Genomic DNA, 14,857 nt, shown 5'->3' with positions numbered 1-14,857 from the left:
CATGGCATTATGGTTGTGAGGCCGATCTGGGGAAAGCTGGGTAAGTCATCGAGGTCTTACACGGTCTCTAAGACATTAGGCATCCTTACACCAAAATATCTGTCCTTAGGCCAACAGCAGATATAGCTTACCTGACACATCTTGACATTTTTTCAACTGTACATTACCTCAGCAACCCAGAAATCCTACAACCATCTTGGAGAGGGTGAGGCAAGGATTCTAGGACTAGAAGTATTAGTATAGTCATATCTTTTAAAACAGTGGAAAGAAATAAACTGAAATGTAAATAGTGGCACTGGGTACATTTTTATTCTGCTTTTCCTTATTTTCAAAATACTTTAACAAGTGTGCTATTTTCACAATTACACAAATTTAAATAAAACCTTCTTGAAGAAAAGAATGAACCAGTGAATGACAATAACAACAAAAAGCATAAATTGCTCATTTACAGCTACCAAAACCAAGAAACAAGCCTGATTCTGGGCTTTAAAGACTATGGTTTAGTTAAAAGAAGTTTGCTATCAATTTTTACTTTCATTTCCTTGTGGGCACAGAACAAGGCTTGAGGCTGGTGCTCTCATCAAAGCTGGGAATGAAGCCTGGATCGCCTGTGCATCAGGGAATCAGCATGTTGTACAGGTCCAGTGATTCTGGAGTGATGCCAGCACAGTATTCCAAAAACTCGAGGTTCCAGGAAAACTGCAAGTCCCTCCATGGGGTCCCAGAGCAGATATTTTCAGTGCTCTTTGTGAAAATGGCCTTGAGTCCACTTAGCAAGACTTGCATTCTTTCCCCTCCATTCTATCACATTCATAAAGGGAATTCTGTTGGAGGTAGAAGGGTGAGGGGTGATGTGTTTCTGACCCACAAAGGTGAACTTTAGAATGCTTACAACATTTGACAGTGCTCTTCCAGCCAGTGCAGAGATTTCTGCATAACTGAAGGGAGGCGGCCAATCTGCAATACACACATGGCCTCTGTCAGATCCAGACAGATTTACAGACAGACCTCTAGAACCCAATGACTGGTCTCTGATGTTCAATCCACTCTCCACAGCTTAGAATGATGTTAACATTTTTAGGAGAACCCTTGCAAAAACAGATTGGTTTTTGTTCTCCTCTATTAATAACAGCTATTTTGAAATGCTATTTAAATCTTCTATTGTTATTTGAACCTTTCTGGATTATGTCTCCCCAGCTGAGCTGCCGTAGGGCAGCGGAAACCACATCCTACATGAACCTGTAATCTCCACGAAGCCTAACACGACGCCTCTTCACGGACACTCATACATATTTGTTCATTCACCTTTTTGTTTTTCTAATTTGGGAAGACCCACTGTTTTCATTGTTGAGTTGCTCTACCCAAATGACATATCGATTGCTGACTGAAGGTGCCCTTCCAGCTGTGAGCTCGGCGGAAGGCTGGAGGTCACCCTGCAGTGGGCCCGGGCACTCACACCCAAAAAGAAGTCATTACTTTTAGGGTGTTTTATTATGATCAACAGCAATATTTGGCAACTTTTCTTTCTAGCATTAGAAAAGATACATTACCAAATGTTAAAAAAGGAACCTGCCAAGTGCAACAGCTAGAAGAGAAAAAATATTATTAAAAGCCCATGTAAACTCTCTACCTACTAAACTAGCAGGGGAAAGCACGATTCTGTGTGCTCTCATACAGACAGAATGCTGGTGGTGACTTTTGGTTCTACCATCTATAAATCGCTGGCTGAAAAGCTAAGAATTTAGGCTTAGAAGAAAGATCCAGTCTCCAGTCTATGCCCTTTTTCACACACTCAGAGAGAGGAGGCTGGACTTCTCTGCTTAATATGGGAGTCTTTTACTCTTTTACGTGGAGTAACGACTTGAGTACAGCACATTAATTTTATAACTATTTTAGGAGCAGGGGAGGACTCTTGAGTTTTTCCAGAGATAATTAAAAATGGGGGAAAAAAGAAACCTGAAATACACAAAAAGCAAGCTGAAGCCACCAGGGGTTTCTGAATAACATCTTCCCGGTTCAACAATTTTAAGAATTCCATAATGCGAAAGCAACCCCCACACATTCTCTCCCACATAAACATGCTTTTTATTTAAGCCACACTCAGCGACGGCAGCACAATGTCTTGCCTGCACTTCTGTAGTTGCTTCATCCAGAGAGAATGTCTTCTTCACAAACGCGTTCTGAAGTGGGGCAGGGGGTGACAACCAGTCAGCAAACGCAGACACCTTCAGGGAGGAAGACTGAAGTTCCCAGTAAGCTCAGCAGCTCGCCACCCGGAAATCTGAGTTTTCACCACACTGAAATCTGACTTTCAACCTCAAGTACCAATGTTCCCTTGGTAGCAACTGAAAATTTTAGGCTTTTTGATATTTATCAACCAGCACATTCCTAGTAATTTTCCTGGTGGACCAGAAAGAGGTAATTATGTTCCTTCCGATAAACCATTTTATTATCACTGATAGCTACATTTTTAAAATAACAAGAACCACTGAGCTATGGAAGGAGTCGACAAAAGACCACCAAGGCATAAAAAGCAATTGGGTTTTCTCTTTTTGCAAAAATCACCTGCTTTTATATGGAAAAACTCATGGAACATAAAACCACATCCAATAAGTCAAAAAATAAAATAAAACAGTCAATAGGGAGAGGGAGGACAGTAGAAGAGTTACTAAGAGAGAGTAACAGACAGAAAGAGTGAAATACGGGAGGAGAGAAACAGTGAGTAGAGTGGGGAGGCAGTGCTGAAGGACAGCAGAGGAGAGAGAGGAGGCCAGACAGCCAGAGGAGGCAGGTGGCTCCAGGTCTCCCAGGGAGGAAGGGAGCTGGAGAAACTACTCCTCTCACATTCAGCTGCTCATTTGGCGTGTGAAGAACTAGATGGGCCATTTTTAATATGCTATGTTAGTTTCTCTACTCTTTTTTTGAAAAATCAAATATGCTCTTTCTTTGTCTTGACACATACACACGACGTTAAGATGTCATCAGGGAAGAATCATTTTTTCCACTTACAACATGAAAATGCCTTCTCAAATTATCCACGGTTTTACTAAAAAGATCCTATTTTGAGCCAACACCCACCTGACTCTTCGGGTAAGGCATGGGTCTCACATCCACCATCGCACACCACGTGCTAGCAGACAGCTCCACGGTTATTCTGTGCACTTGCTTAATGATTTCATCAAATAATTTAGTCCAGTCAACAAATATTCATTGAGCCTCTACAGTGCTGAACAAGACACAGCCCCTGCGCTGCAGGAACTCCCATTATGCAGGGAAATAACACTAGCAAGCCACCGTGCAAGAATGGAGGGGCTGGTCAGTGCCACTGGGCAGAAGGCAGGATCAGTTTGAACTGGGCCATCAGGAAAAGCACTTGAGGAGCAGGCATTTGAGTCTGATATTCAAAGGGGTAAATGATGTGAATTCAGAGCAGCATGAGAAGGGGTGGAGACGGGGCAAAGCAGAGGAAATGCTGATTGGTGAGGACTATGGGACCCTTGGGTTCCTGTTGCTAAGCAGCGGCCAATTAGGCTGGAACAGTCGATTGAGGCCAGTGTGCACAGGCCTTCACTCCATAACTGCCCCAAACAGGAGAGAGACAGTAGGCACAGAAAGGAAAGGACGAATGGAGGGAGACTGTGCAGGGGACACCTCAACTTGACTCAATGACTGTCTGGATGTGGGAGTGCAAGGAACAGAAAGTCAGAATAACCCCAGGTGTTCAAGCTCTGGTTACAGAGAAGAGGATGATGGCACTAACGTCATCAAGGAATGCACTGAAAGGGACACACTCCACTACTCATGAGAAACATCAGACAAGGCCAAGCTACAGGGCATTCTACTACATAACTGACCTGCACCCTTCAAACGTGTCAAGGTTCACGAGAGACAGAATGACTGGGAAACGGTCCCAGATTAGAGGAAATGAAAGAGGCATGACAAGGAATGTAACACATCCTGGACTGGATCCTGGACCAGAAAACATCTTTTTTTTAAAAGATCTTTTTGGCCAGGTGCAGTGGCTCATACCCATAATCCCAGCATTTTGGGAGGCCAAGGCAGGCAGATCACCTGAGGTCAGGAGTTCAAGACCAGCCTGGCCAACGTGGTGAAACACTGTCTCTACAAAATTACAAAAGTTAGCCAGGCATGATGGTGGGTGCCTGTAATCCCAGCTACTCGGGAGGCTGAGGCAGGAGAATTGCTTGAACCAGGGAGGCGGAGGCTGCAGTGAGCCGAGATTGTGCCATTGCGTTCCGCCCTGGGCAACCGAGCAAGACTCCATTTCAAAAACAAAATAAAACAATAAAGATCTTTTTTTCTCCTCTTTTGCCATGAAGGACATTATTAGGTCAATAGATGATACATGAATAAGGCCTGTTGATTAGATAATAGCTCTTAATGCTAATTTTCTGATTTTGGCACTTATACAAGAAAATGTCCTTTTTAAAAGGAAATATACACGAGTATTTAGGTGGACAAAGGTGTATCATGTCTACAACTCACTCTAAAATGGTTCAGGGAAAATGACAACATATGCACTTGTGTGTGTGTATACATATGTGTGTTCATACATATGTGTGTGAATAAACACACAGATACACAGACACACAGAGAGAGAATGAGAGAATAGGATAGAGCGAGAAAGGTAAAACAAGTGTGGTAAAAATTAATATTTAGAGAATTTGGTTGAAAGGTATGTTGGGAATTATTTTAATTATTGCGACTTTTCTTTTTCTTTTCTTTTCTTTTTTTTTTTTTTTTTTTTTTGAGAGACGGAGTCTCGCTCTGTCGCCCAGGCTGGAGTGCAGTGGCGCGATCTCAGCTCACTGCAACCTCCACCTTCTGGGTTCAAGCAATTCTCCTGCCTCAGCCTCCTGAGTAGCTGGGATTACAGGCGCTCACCACCATGCCCAGCTAATTTTTGTATTTTTTTAGTAGAGATGGGGTTTCACTATATGTTAGCCAGGCTGGTCTGGAACTCCTGACCTCAGGTGATACACCCGCCTTGGCCTCCCAAAGTGCTGGGATTACAAGCATGAGCCACTGTACCTGGCCAGTTATTGCAACTTTTCTATAAATTTGAATTATTCAAAGTAAAAGGTTTAAAAAGGGGAAAAATGATTACAGAAGCCAGGAAGACAAGGTAGAGACAAAGCAGTCAGGCTTCTGAGTATTACATTCTGAGTGAAATGTGGGCAACAGCTCAGGGCCCAAAATATAGATTTGAAGTACCTGGGGGCCCTGGGTAAACAGGGTTAAAAGTGGGGCTCTAAGGTCAGACTGGTGGAGTCCCTTTCCCAGGTCTGCTCCTTGAAAGCAGTGTTTTCTTTAAGTTATTCAAATCTCCCTCCATTTCAATTTCTGCACCTACATAACGGGAGTAATCAGAGTCTCTGCCTCACAGAGTTGGAGTGAGGATTAGAGGAAGTAGTACAAGTGGGCGAGGGCGCCCAGTGAGGCGCGGGGAAAGTGCCCAGTGCTCTTTAAATACTACTGCGGGCTCAGAGGTGAGGCTGGGGCAGGGGGAAGGGAGGAGGAAAAGGAAAGGAAAGACCAAGGACAGGATCTCACAGCATCCCCGTGTCTACATGCCAGGAAGAAAAAGGAAACAAATGAGGTTCGAGTGGGCCTGGACAACCAGTGTCATGGAGACAGGGAGATACAGAGGCGCAAAGGGCTGACTGCTGCCAGGAGACGCAGGGCAGGGACCAAGGAAGGGAAAGCCAGGGCAAAGGCCTCAGATCTGCAGCCAGGACACCTATGCCAGAGCCCTCTGAGGAAGCAGTTTCAACAGAAAGATGAGGGTGAAACCAGAATAGGTGAGTGGACAAAGAAGAGAACCTGAGGACAGTTCAACAGAGTAGCAGGGTCAAAAACAGTGCTACCCCATACGATAGCCATTGGCCCTATGTGACTACTTCAATTGGATTTAAGTTAGTTTAGAATTTACTAAAATGGAAAACTTGGTTCCTCAGTCATACTAGCCACACTTCGTGTGCTTAAGAGCCACATGTGGGCAGTGACTACCATACGGAACAGTGCAGATATAAAATATTTTTCTCACCGCAGAAAATTCTACTGGACAGAGCGAGGACCCCACCAGAGTTTCTTATGGGAAGGATGACCCATATGGTGGAGTAAGGGTTGGGGCAGAGTAGGGAAGGACCAAAGACACTGGAGAAGAGGAATAACAAATGCAGCCAGTTCCCAAAAGAGGTGAGAAGGAAGGAATCAAGTCCAGAGAATGAAGAGTGTGGATTGCATGTGGATTAACCTTGGGGAAGGGACTTGTAGACATTTTCTTCCTTTGAGAAAGACGAAATAAAGAAGGACAAAGAGAGGAAGAGAAAGATGCTTGGGGGCCTTGAGGAAGGTAAAGTGGGAATTTATCTGGTGAAATTAGAGCCAACGTAAATTTTCAATGGAACCTGTCCAAAGGTCTTTGTGACTTCCTCCTAGATAATGTGGCAGGCTGGGAGAAGAATAAGCAGGCAAGCGGGGGTGATTTTGGATTGAGGACTGAAATATAAGAAGCCCAACACATTGAAACAAAGGATTCTGGGATCCCAGACAGAATGGAAATGGCCAGCAACTTACATGCCCCAAGTGGAGAAACAGAGTCACAGAGGGGCTGAAGGATTGGAACAGCAAGTGCTTAAGGGACCAGGGTCCTCAGCGATGGTTAAAATCCAGAGCAGTATGTGGGTAGTATCAGCTAAGTAGGCTGAAGTCCGAGTTCAAGATCTCAAAGGTTTAGTCTTGTTCAAGACTGAACAAGTCCAAGATGTTAGTTGAAGCAAAGTGGAAACTGAGGCTACTGGGATAGATGTTGAGGAACTTCAAGGTCAAAGAATTAAGAGAGCTTCAACACAAAACCCAAAGTCACTGGCAAGAGACAAAGCAGAGAAGAGAATGAAGCTGGCTGCTCACGTTTTTTGTTTGTTTATCCCTTTTTTGGGGCATCAAGTGAAGAGATCCCCACTGTACCTGGGTGTACATCAGAATTGCCCAGAGAGTTCTGTTCCTTCTCTTCATCGTCTCCTGCTGCTCCTCCTTTTGGGGTTTGTTTTTAAAGTAGGGATTTTTAGGTCTTACTCCCCCACCCTGCCCCAGCCCCCAATGATTCTAATTTGGTATATCTGAGAGAGTCTAAAGACCAAGTTTTTCAAAATGTCCCAGGTGATTCTGAGGAGCCCCCAGGTTTGGGAAGCACTGGACCAGAAGATAAGAAGGAGGGTAGGGGCACAAGCAGATAGCACTACCTTCCGAGAGGAGACTTGGTTGGTGATGGTGCATTGGTTTGGAGGCAGCACTAAGGAGAAGCGGAAGAGCATCCCTACTCTGGTGAGACGGTGGAGGACACTAGAGAAGGCTCTTCTGCGGCAAGTTGTTCACTCAGGCTCTGGTGCTCGGGAGAGAAGGTGGGTTCAGCTACATAAAAAATGAAAATGCAAGAGTGTGGCTGCAGGATACAAGAAACAAGACATTTAAAGCCAGGTCGGAGTGACACAGCCTAGTGGCCTGCAGAGAGAGGAGGCTGAATAATGCGCTAATAACGTTTCCAAGCACCATGTAGTGTGGCTCATTAAATGGTTGGTAGGGCTTCATGGTTGAATTCCTGGACACTAAGTATTTTTCTATCCGTATGCTATCAGATTTCTAACATGTAACACATTAAAGGTTATTAAGCCCTCAGGTAAACAAGCTTGCAGAAGCTTATTCATTAGCATTGGAAACTGTGTCTTCCCAACCCACGTTCTTATACAGATGAAATCAGATTCGAATGAAAATCAAGGGTAGCTTTAAGTAGAAAGTCAGAAGGGGCAACCAGGGGTACCTGTGAGAGGGTACGTCCTCCATTCCCCTCCGTGGAAGAGGGAAGTTTATAGACAGTGGATATGGAAGGGGGCCTAAGTGTCCTTTTTAGTACCAGTCAACGCTAAAAATATTATAAGTGCCAAGGAACCCGCCCCCCCCAACACACACACACACACATACACACACGCGCATTCAGTGACAGGGCCCAGAAGGCAGATACAATGTGCAAATCTGGGGATGGTTCTCAATAAAGAATATATTTACTCTACAAACCTCTTATTTTAAAAGCAAGTTGCAAATGTTTGCCCTTGCTTCTGAGAGAGCTGCACTTTTGTGGATTCGAATCATTCTAGCATTATTTCTGGTTACTCCTATGAAATAATTTCCAACACTGCCGTACGCAGACTTTGAGCTGAGGACGAGAGCGCACGCGCACACACGCACACACACACACGCGCGCACACACACACATAAACCTCGTGCACATTGAAGAAATGACTCACTTAATTTGCTGCTGCCTGCCACGATTGGGTTTTGATTTTACCTGTTCAAATACAAAGTTTCCTATTAGATTAACTACAGGAAAGAAGAACTTAGGAGCATTAATCCTGATTTTGTTCATGTCTTTAGGGCACCAAAGAGGTTTTAACCTGTGCATCTTAAGAAGCCATTCTCCGGACCACCGACTGCTTGCTCCATAATCTTCCAGACAACGATAACATTTCTTACCACTTTAGGAGCCAATTAATGGAAACCCCTCCTAGAATAAACATGGTTAAGCTTTGCATCTCCGGTACCTGCAGAACCGTACTTTAGGGCTCTTTCTCAGCTCGCAGTAGGATGGCACAACAGCATTCTGGAACTGCAAAGACCCCCTAGCCTCTCGTTTGAAAGATGAGAAAAAGCGAAGGGGCGGAAGAGCAGATGGTTAACCTACCCAAGGTCACTCACTCTGAGTAGTGGGTCGGCTGACTCGCCTTTACCCCTGGCAATCCGTGCACCACCCCAGCTCCCCCAAACAGTCCCTCCGGGCGTCGGTTGGTTCGCTAGCATGCAGCCCCCGCGAAAATGCAACGCCAGTTGCGCTCTGTGCCCAACTTCAGCCCTTCGCGTCACATGCAGTTAACCCTCTCGCCCGCGGCATGTCACATGGGCCACGCGCAGCTCTCTCTACCCCACGCCTATCTCCTGAGAGGCTGCCCCAAGGTCACCGGCCGTCCCAGAGAGCTCCCGCCGCCCAGCCCCAGAGGCCGCCCGGCCGGGGTTCCCAGAGCGCGGCACTCACCGGCGCGGGGGGTGGGCGCGCCGCGGCTGCCCATGTCCTCGCCGGCGCGGCTGGGTGCGGCGGCCGCTGGCGCTGGCTGAGCAGGGCGCCCGGCTGCGGGCCCGCGCCGCGGGGAGCGCCGTCCAATCAGCGCGCGCCTGCCGCCTGGCCCGGCGCGCGGCCCGGCCGGGTTCGCGGCTCCCGGGGGGCGCGAGCCGCCGCGCGCCGCCGGAGCCGCTTCCGGGCGCGTTGCCTGGACGCGGTTGCCGTGGCAGCCCGAGCTGGAGGCTTTCCCCGCGCACCCGCGCCCAGCCTGGCGGCGCCGCCCCTCCTCCCTCCTCGTTCCCACACCCAAAATAGCCTCTGCTCGTCGCTGCTGTTTCCCACAGAGCTCGCATCCAAGCGCCTTGGAGTTGGCGGGCGGGGATTTCGCTCATTGGAAAATAAATCCTGTTGTAGGGATGGTTGATTTGGAGAGGTGTTGAAATGGTGCCTGACGGAGATCATAGCCATGGTGGTGGCACTGCAATTCTCTCTAGAGCCCCAATATACCTTATTTACTAAACCGCTTTCCCACAAAAATAGTTCTCTCCCCCGCCCCACCTCAAATTGGGGAGAAGTTATTTGATTAGGCCACGGTGACGCCCCACCTGTGCAGGTGAACGAACCCTCCGGGGCTGCCATGTGTCATTTACTGAATCGCCTTGACACCTGCAGTTGGGACCCAGGATCGTGTCTCATCGCAGCAGACACGACGAGAAGAAGAACCCCGAACACCCCTCCTCTTCCCAGCCCTTTCTTCTCCCGTCAGCTTCATCCCCTCCCAGCGCGTCCTGGCTCTTTCCACCTTCCTCTCGATTTTGGATTCTCATCAGGACGCACAAGCCCATTCACTCATAATTGTGCTTCCTCTCGGTGGGCAGGATTTCAGCGGAGTTGCGGGGGACACGACCTTTGCCTCATCTGGTTCGTGCCTCCTTCGCAGATACTGGTACTTACCCAGCACAGGGGCTCCTGTCTGTCTCCCCCACCCCGCCCCAGCCTGAGCCCTTCCAACCCAGGGGAAGGAGCCCGACATGGTAGAAGAGCCCGAACTGTGGATTCGGCTGAGCGGTTTTGGAATTCTCTCTCCGGCAGCATTATTATTTAGGGGCTATTAGTATTAAGGACTGTTATTTGTGTGTGATCTTTGAAATATTTGTGGGTATTCTGCGACTGTTTCCTCACCAGTAAAACGGGCTAATAACTTCCACAAAGCGCTAACGCATCTGTAACATTCATTCAGCCAACAGTATCTATTGGATGGCTGCCAAGTGCTAGAAACTATGCTTAGCCCTGAGACACAATGGTGAAGATGAAAAAGAGACACATCACTTTCTGATCCCACAGAGCTTAGAGCCTGACGAGCATTCATCAAATAATCACAGACACATGTTAACACTGCCGTTGTGACCAGGAGAGTAATGGCCTTGAGTCTTGTGATGTGTAGATCTGGTATAACAGCATCTCTTTAGTGCTGCAAAAGCTCAATGATTATTCTTTCCTTTCTCGGTTAGATTCCCACTGCCTGGTGCATGGTATGTACTAGGTAAATACATATTGAATTGGATCCTATGTCATGGTGATGACACTGTCACTCTGCTTCCCAGTGACCTTCTGGCTGTAACTGGCCACAACATCTGGAAAGGTGTGCATGTGTTAGCAGAAAGTACCCATTCAAACCTAGAGTCCATCACCAAGAGTCTAGAAAAAGGTTCAAAATATTTCTTGCCTGTCTCCATCGGGGTGCCTTTCAGTGCATATGGAGAGCATCTCAGATGGACACATAACGTCCCCTCTGTCTTGTTTCTTCCTCTTCTTATTACTCTACCCTTTCCCCGCCCACCCCAATACTGACCCTACTCCCTCTACTACTTGAGGTGCCAGAGCCTCAAGGCACCCCTTCCTGGCTTCCTAGGAGAGTGATAGTAGATCCTAATATTCCTCAGAATGGAACACCTATAAAACAGAGGAAGTGCCTTCTTACTTCTGGCCATCAAAACTGAACTTTGATTTTTCATTTGCTGCAAGACTCCCTCACTCTCAAAGGTAGGGAAGGAGAGGACCTGGAAGGTGAGGGGCTCTTGCCATATGTAGGCACCTTCTATTTAGGCTGACTTTCATTTCCTTTTTAAAAATCATAACAGTTAGCAAATAAGACAAATAATTGTATTAATAATTATTTCAAAACATGAATTTCTCAGTAAGAACCGGGCTTTCAAAGTGGTCTTGAATCAGGCCCATGACTTCCCACTTCTTATTTATCTTTTTTCTTAAGTGATTTGTTTTGAATCCCAAGGGGACAAAATTTAATGCACAATGATTAAGCCTACACTAGTTTCTTTCCAACTCTTTCCCTATTTTTGTAGGCTAAATTGCAACGAAATATCCATTTTTTCCAGAATCACTTTGATTGTAACTCATTACAGGAGATGGAGATTTTCTTGCATTACTTCAATTAAAAAGCCATGATTTATCACAAATTATTTTATGCTGCAAGGATTACCAAAAAAATTATCAAAGAGAACAATTCTATATACTTGATGGCTGTAATACTATTTACAAAGCAGTTATTTAAATACAAATAATTTGTTCAGTATATTATGCTAGACACCATGGAAATTCATTTTTCTTCTTTCTTTTGAGACAGAGTCTCACTCTGTCACCCAGGCTAGAATGCAGAGGCTCTCGATCTTGGCTCACTGCAACCTCTGCCTCCTGGGTTCAGGTGATTCTCCTGTCTCAGCTTCCCGAGTAGCTGGGACTACAGACGTACGCCACCATGCCCAGCTAACTTTTTTATTTTTAGTAGAGAGGGGGTTTTGCCATGTTGGCCAGGCTGGTCTCGAACTCCTGACCTCAGGTGATCCGCCGGCCTCGGCATCCCCAGGTGCTGGGATTACAGGTGTGAACCACTGCACCCAGTCCACTGTGGGAATTTTTTTGTTTTGCTTTGTTTGTTTGCTTGTTTGTTTGTTTGAGACGGAGTCTTGCTCTGTCGCCAGGCTGGAGTGCAGTGGCGTGATCTCGGCTCACTGCAACCTCTGCCTCCCGGGTTCAAGCAATTCTCCCGCCTCAGCCTCCCGAGGAGCTGGGACTACAAACATGCACCACCACGCCCAGCTAATTTTTGTATTTTTAGTAGAGATGGGGTCTTGTCATGTTGGCCAGGATGGCCTCCATCTCTTAACCTCGTGATCCACCTGCCTCAGCCTCCCAAAGTGCTGGGATTACAGGCATAAGCCACCAAGCCCGGCTGAAATTGTTTAAGTGATTTATTCCACGGCTGAGCTCTGGTTCTACTTTTGTCTCTGCACTGCCATTAGTCATGAAGATGAGATACACACGACATCTATAAGGATAGTAAGTAGGCTCCTCTAGGTAGGTAGAGGTCAAGGGCTTGTGTAGGTCAACGTGGTGTTTATAAGAAGGCTGGAAAGCAGTTGGGCCAAGGCTGTGGTGAGTTTCAGATGGATAAAGAGTTAGCACTTTGTTTTGTCCTCAGCAATTCTCAACCGTGGTTTGTCGAGATCCATTGGGAGGAGTGTTACACGTTGTTCATTCTCAATAATAGAGTGCCAAAGAATTTGACCACAAGGAACAGTCATATGTAGGAACTAGCAGGAGAAAGAAGGTTCCCACAGGGAGCAATGAGGAAGACCCAGAGATGTAAGAGTGAGGACAGTGTCAGAGAAGACACAGATGAGAAGGCTCAAGGGCAGAAAGTTTCCAGGGGACAAGTCCTGCAGAAAGCCAAGAAAATTTAGTGAATAGAAAGTCACTGGTGACCCTCAGGAGTGTTTTTTAGTTATCAGATTGCTGTGGGTTAAGAAAAGACTGGATGCTGTAGAAATGCAAGAAAGGTGTAGGTCACTCTTTAGAGAAGTTCGGCAGTGTAAAGAAGGTGAGAAATAATATCCATAGAGATCTGTAGTGGCCAGTGGATGTTTTTAAGATAAGGGAAAATAGTCTCTGCATATTTATATACAGTTGTAGGGCTGCAGACAAGGAGAGCACAATGCATCGTTTTGCACTGAGTAACTCAATCTAAATTCTACCATTCCTTTCATTATTGCCATATCCATTTTCCTTTTCAAAAATGTTTCATCGGGCCAGTTACGGTGCCTCACACCTGTAATCCCAGCACTTTGGGAGGCCTAGATGGGCAGATAGCTTGAGGCTAGGAGTTCAAGACCAGCCTGGCCAACATGGCGAAACCCGTCTCTACTAAAAATGCAAAAGCTAGCCGGGCATGGTGGCAGGTGCCTGTAATCCCAGCTACTCGGGACACTGAGACACGAGAATTTTTCAAACCTGGGAGGCAGAGGGTGTAGTGAGCCTAGATCGCGCCACTGTACTTCAGCCTGGGTGACAGAGTGAGACTCAAAAGGTCCCAAAGGTATTATGTCTCAAAAATAAAATGTTTCACCGAATAAGAGAAATCTTACATTGAACAAAGGTGGGGTTCAGACCTTGGGACGTTATTCTGTGAATAACCAACTAAAAACTTGGGTTAATAACCAATTAACACAATACGTCACTCTTTATGGCTGTTCTTTATCGGTTTCTTTGTTGCTAATAGTAAAATAGAATTAAGAAAATTCCTTTTTTCCTCTTTTATTTATAGAAATTATAGATTTTTCATACGTTTTGAATAAACTACAATTGGCTCTGTTGTTTTTGCTAGTAATTTTTCTTCATGTATAGGCTCATTCTCTCAAATATTATGTTTTGCTTATGAATTCATTGGTGGCTAATCCATCTCGCAATAATGTTTTTGAAGTAGTTATGCCTAAAGTACAACCAGCAGAGAAAGCACAAAATATTGAGAAGATCCTTTTAATAATGTTTACGTCTTAACTTAGATAATTGCAGTTGTACATAACAGGGAAAGTTCAGCCTCAGGGTGTATTTATATAGCATACAAGTGAGCCCTCAACATAACACTTTCAAGAGTGAAATCTGAAATAAAGAAGTCTTTCTACAAAGAGTTTGTGGCCAGAAATCCTAAAATAGCCTGACCTCATGATCCATCCACCTCGGCCTCCCAAAGTGCTGGGATTACAGGCGTGAGTCACTGCACCCAGCCCAATTTTGATTTTTTTTTTTTTTTTTTTTTTTTTTGAGACGGAGTCTCGCTCTGTGCCCAGGCTGGAGCGCAGTGGCGCGATCTTGGCTCACTGCAAATTCCACCTCCCGAGTTCACACCATTCTCCTGCCTCAGCCTCCCGAGTAGCTGGGACTACAGGCACCCACCACCATGCCCAGCTAATTTTTTGTATTTTTTTTTTTTAATAGAGACGGGGTTTCACCGTGTTAGGGAGGATGGTCTCGATCTCCTGACCTCGTGATCTGCCCACCTCAGCCTCCCAAAGTGCTGGGATTACAGGCGTGAGCCACCATGCCCGGCCTGATTTTTTAAATATTGCATTAAAATACTATTTATCTTGATCATTGAGTTTGCCTTAAATGTCGCACCTTAAATTTTGCCTCACTCACCTCCCCTCAGCCCTGGCCCTGTTGCAATCATAGCCAATGTTTATGTCAGACCCTGTGCTAAATGCTTACTTGTAGTACTTTATTTCTTTTTTGCAACAGCTTATGAATAAACTTAGGCTTAGAGGTATTATGTAACTTGTCCAAGGTCCCAAAGCTATTAAGTTCTAGAGCTAGAATTTGAACTTGGGCCCCTCTGATGTCACAGCTGTGCCTTGTAGGTACCAGGTGCAAGAT

General features: G+C 45.9%; 1 protein-coding gene across 14 annotated transcripts in view, besides 1 other annotated feature; it reads right to left on the bottom strand.

Moving 5' to 3' along the window:
• Window positions 1-14,857, bottom strand: part of FAM81A (family with sequence similarity 81 member A) — a 125,575-nt gene that overhangs the window by 76,167 nt on the left and 34,551 nt on the right. For 2 of the 14 annotated variants that reach the window (XM_006720398.4, XM_011521247.3), the window contains exons 1-3: window positions 9,107-9,203; window positions 8,325-8,365; window positions 7,266-7,434 (exon numbers count right to left, since the gene is read on the bottom strand). The exons of 3 other annotated variants lie outside the window; for them this stretch is intronic. The gene's annotated coding sequence lies outside the window, so the exon portion shown is untranslated. Of the gene's footprint in view, window positions 1-7,265; window positions 7,435-8,324; window positions 8,734-8,758; window positions 9,204-14,857 lie in introns of those variants that run through there. 9 more of the 14 variants (XM_011521250.3, XM_047432168.1, XM_011521249.3 and 6 more) reach the window with 6 other exon arrangements.
• Window positions 8,976-9,505: a silencer, noted in NCBI's record as "silent region_6490". NCBI's record gives its function as "represses an Ori minimal core promoter by ATAC-STARR-seq in GM12878 lymphoblastoid cells {active_cell/tissue: GM12878}" and the evidence as "EXISTENCE:reporter gene assay evidence [ECO:0000049][PMID:35858748]".

This window comes from Homo sapiens, chromosome 15, assembly GCF_000001405.40.
Source record: "Homo sapiens chromosome 15, GRCh38.p14 Primary Assembly".
Lineage (NCBI taxonomy): Eukaryota > Metazoa > Chordata > Mammalia > Primates > Hominidae > Homo > Homo sapiens.
The sequence above is the reverse complement of the archived record's forward strand: the minus strand, read 5'-3'. Positions and strand labels throughout refer to the sequence as shown.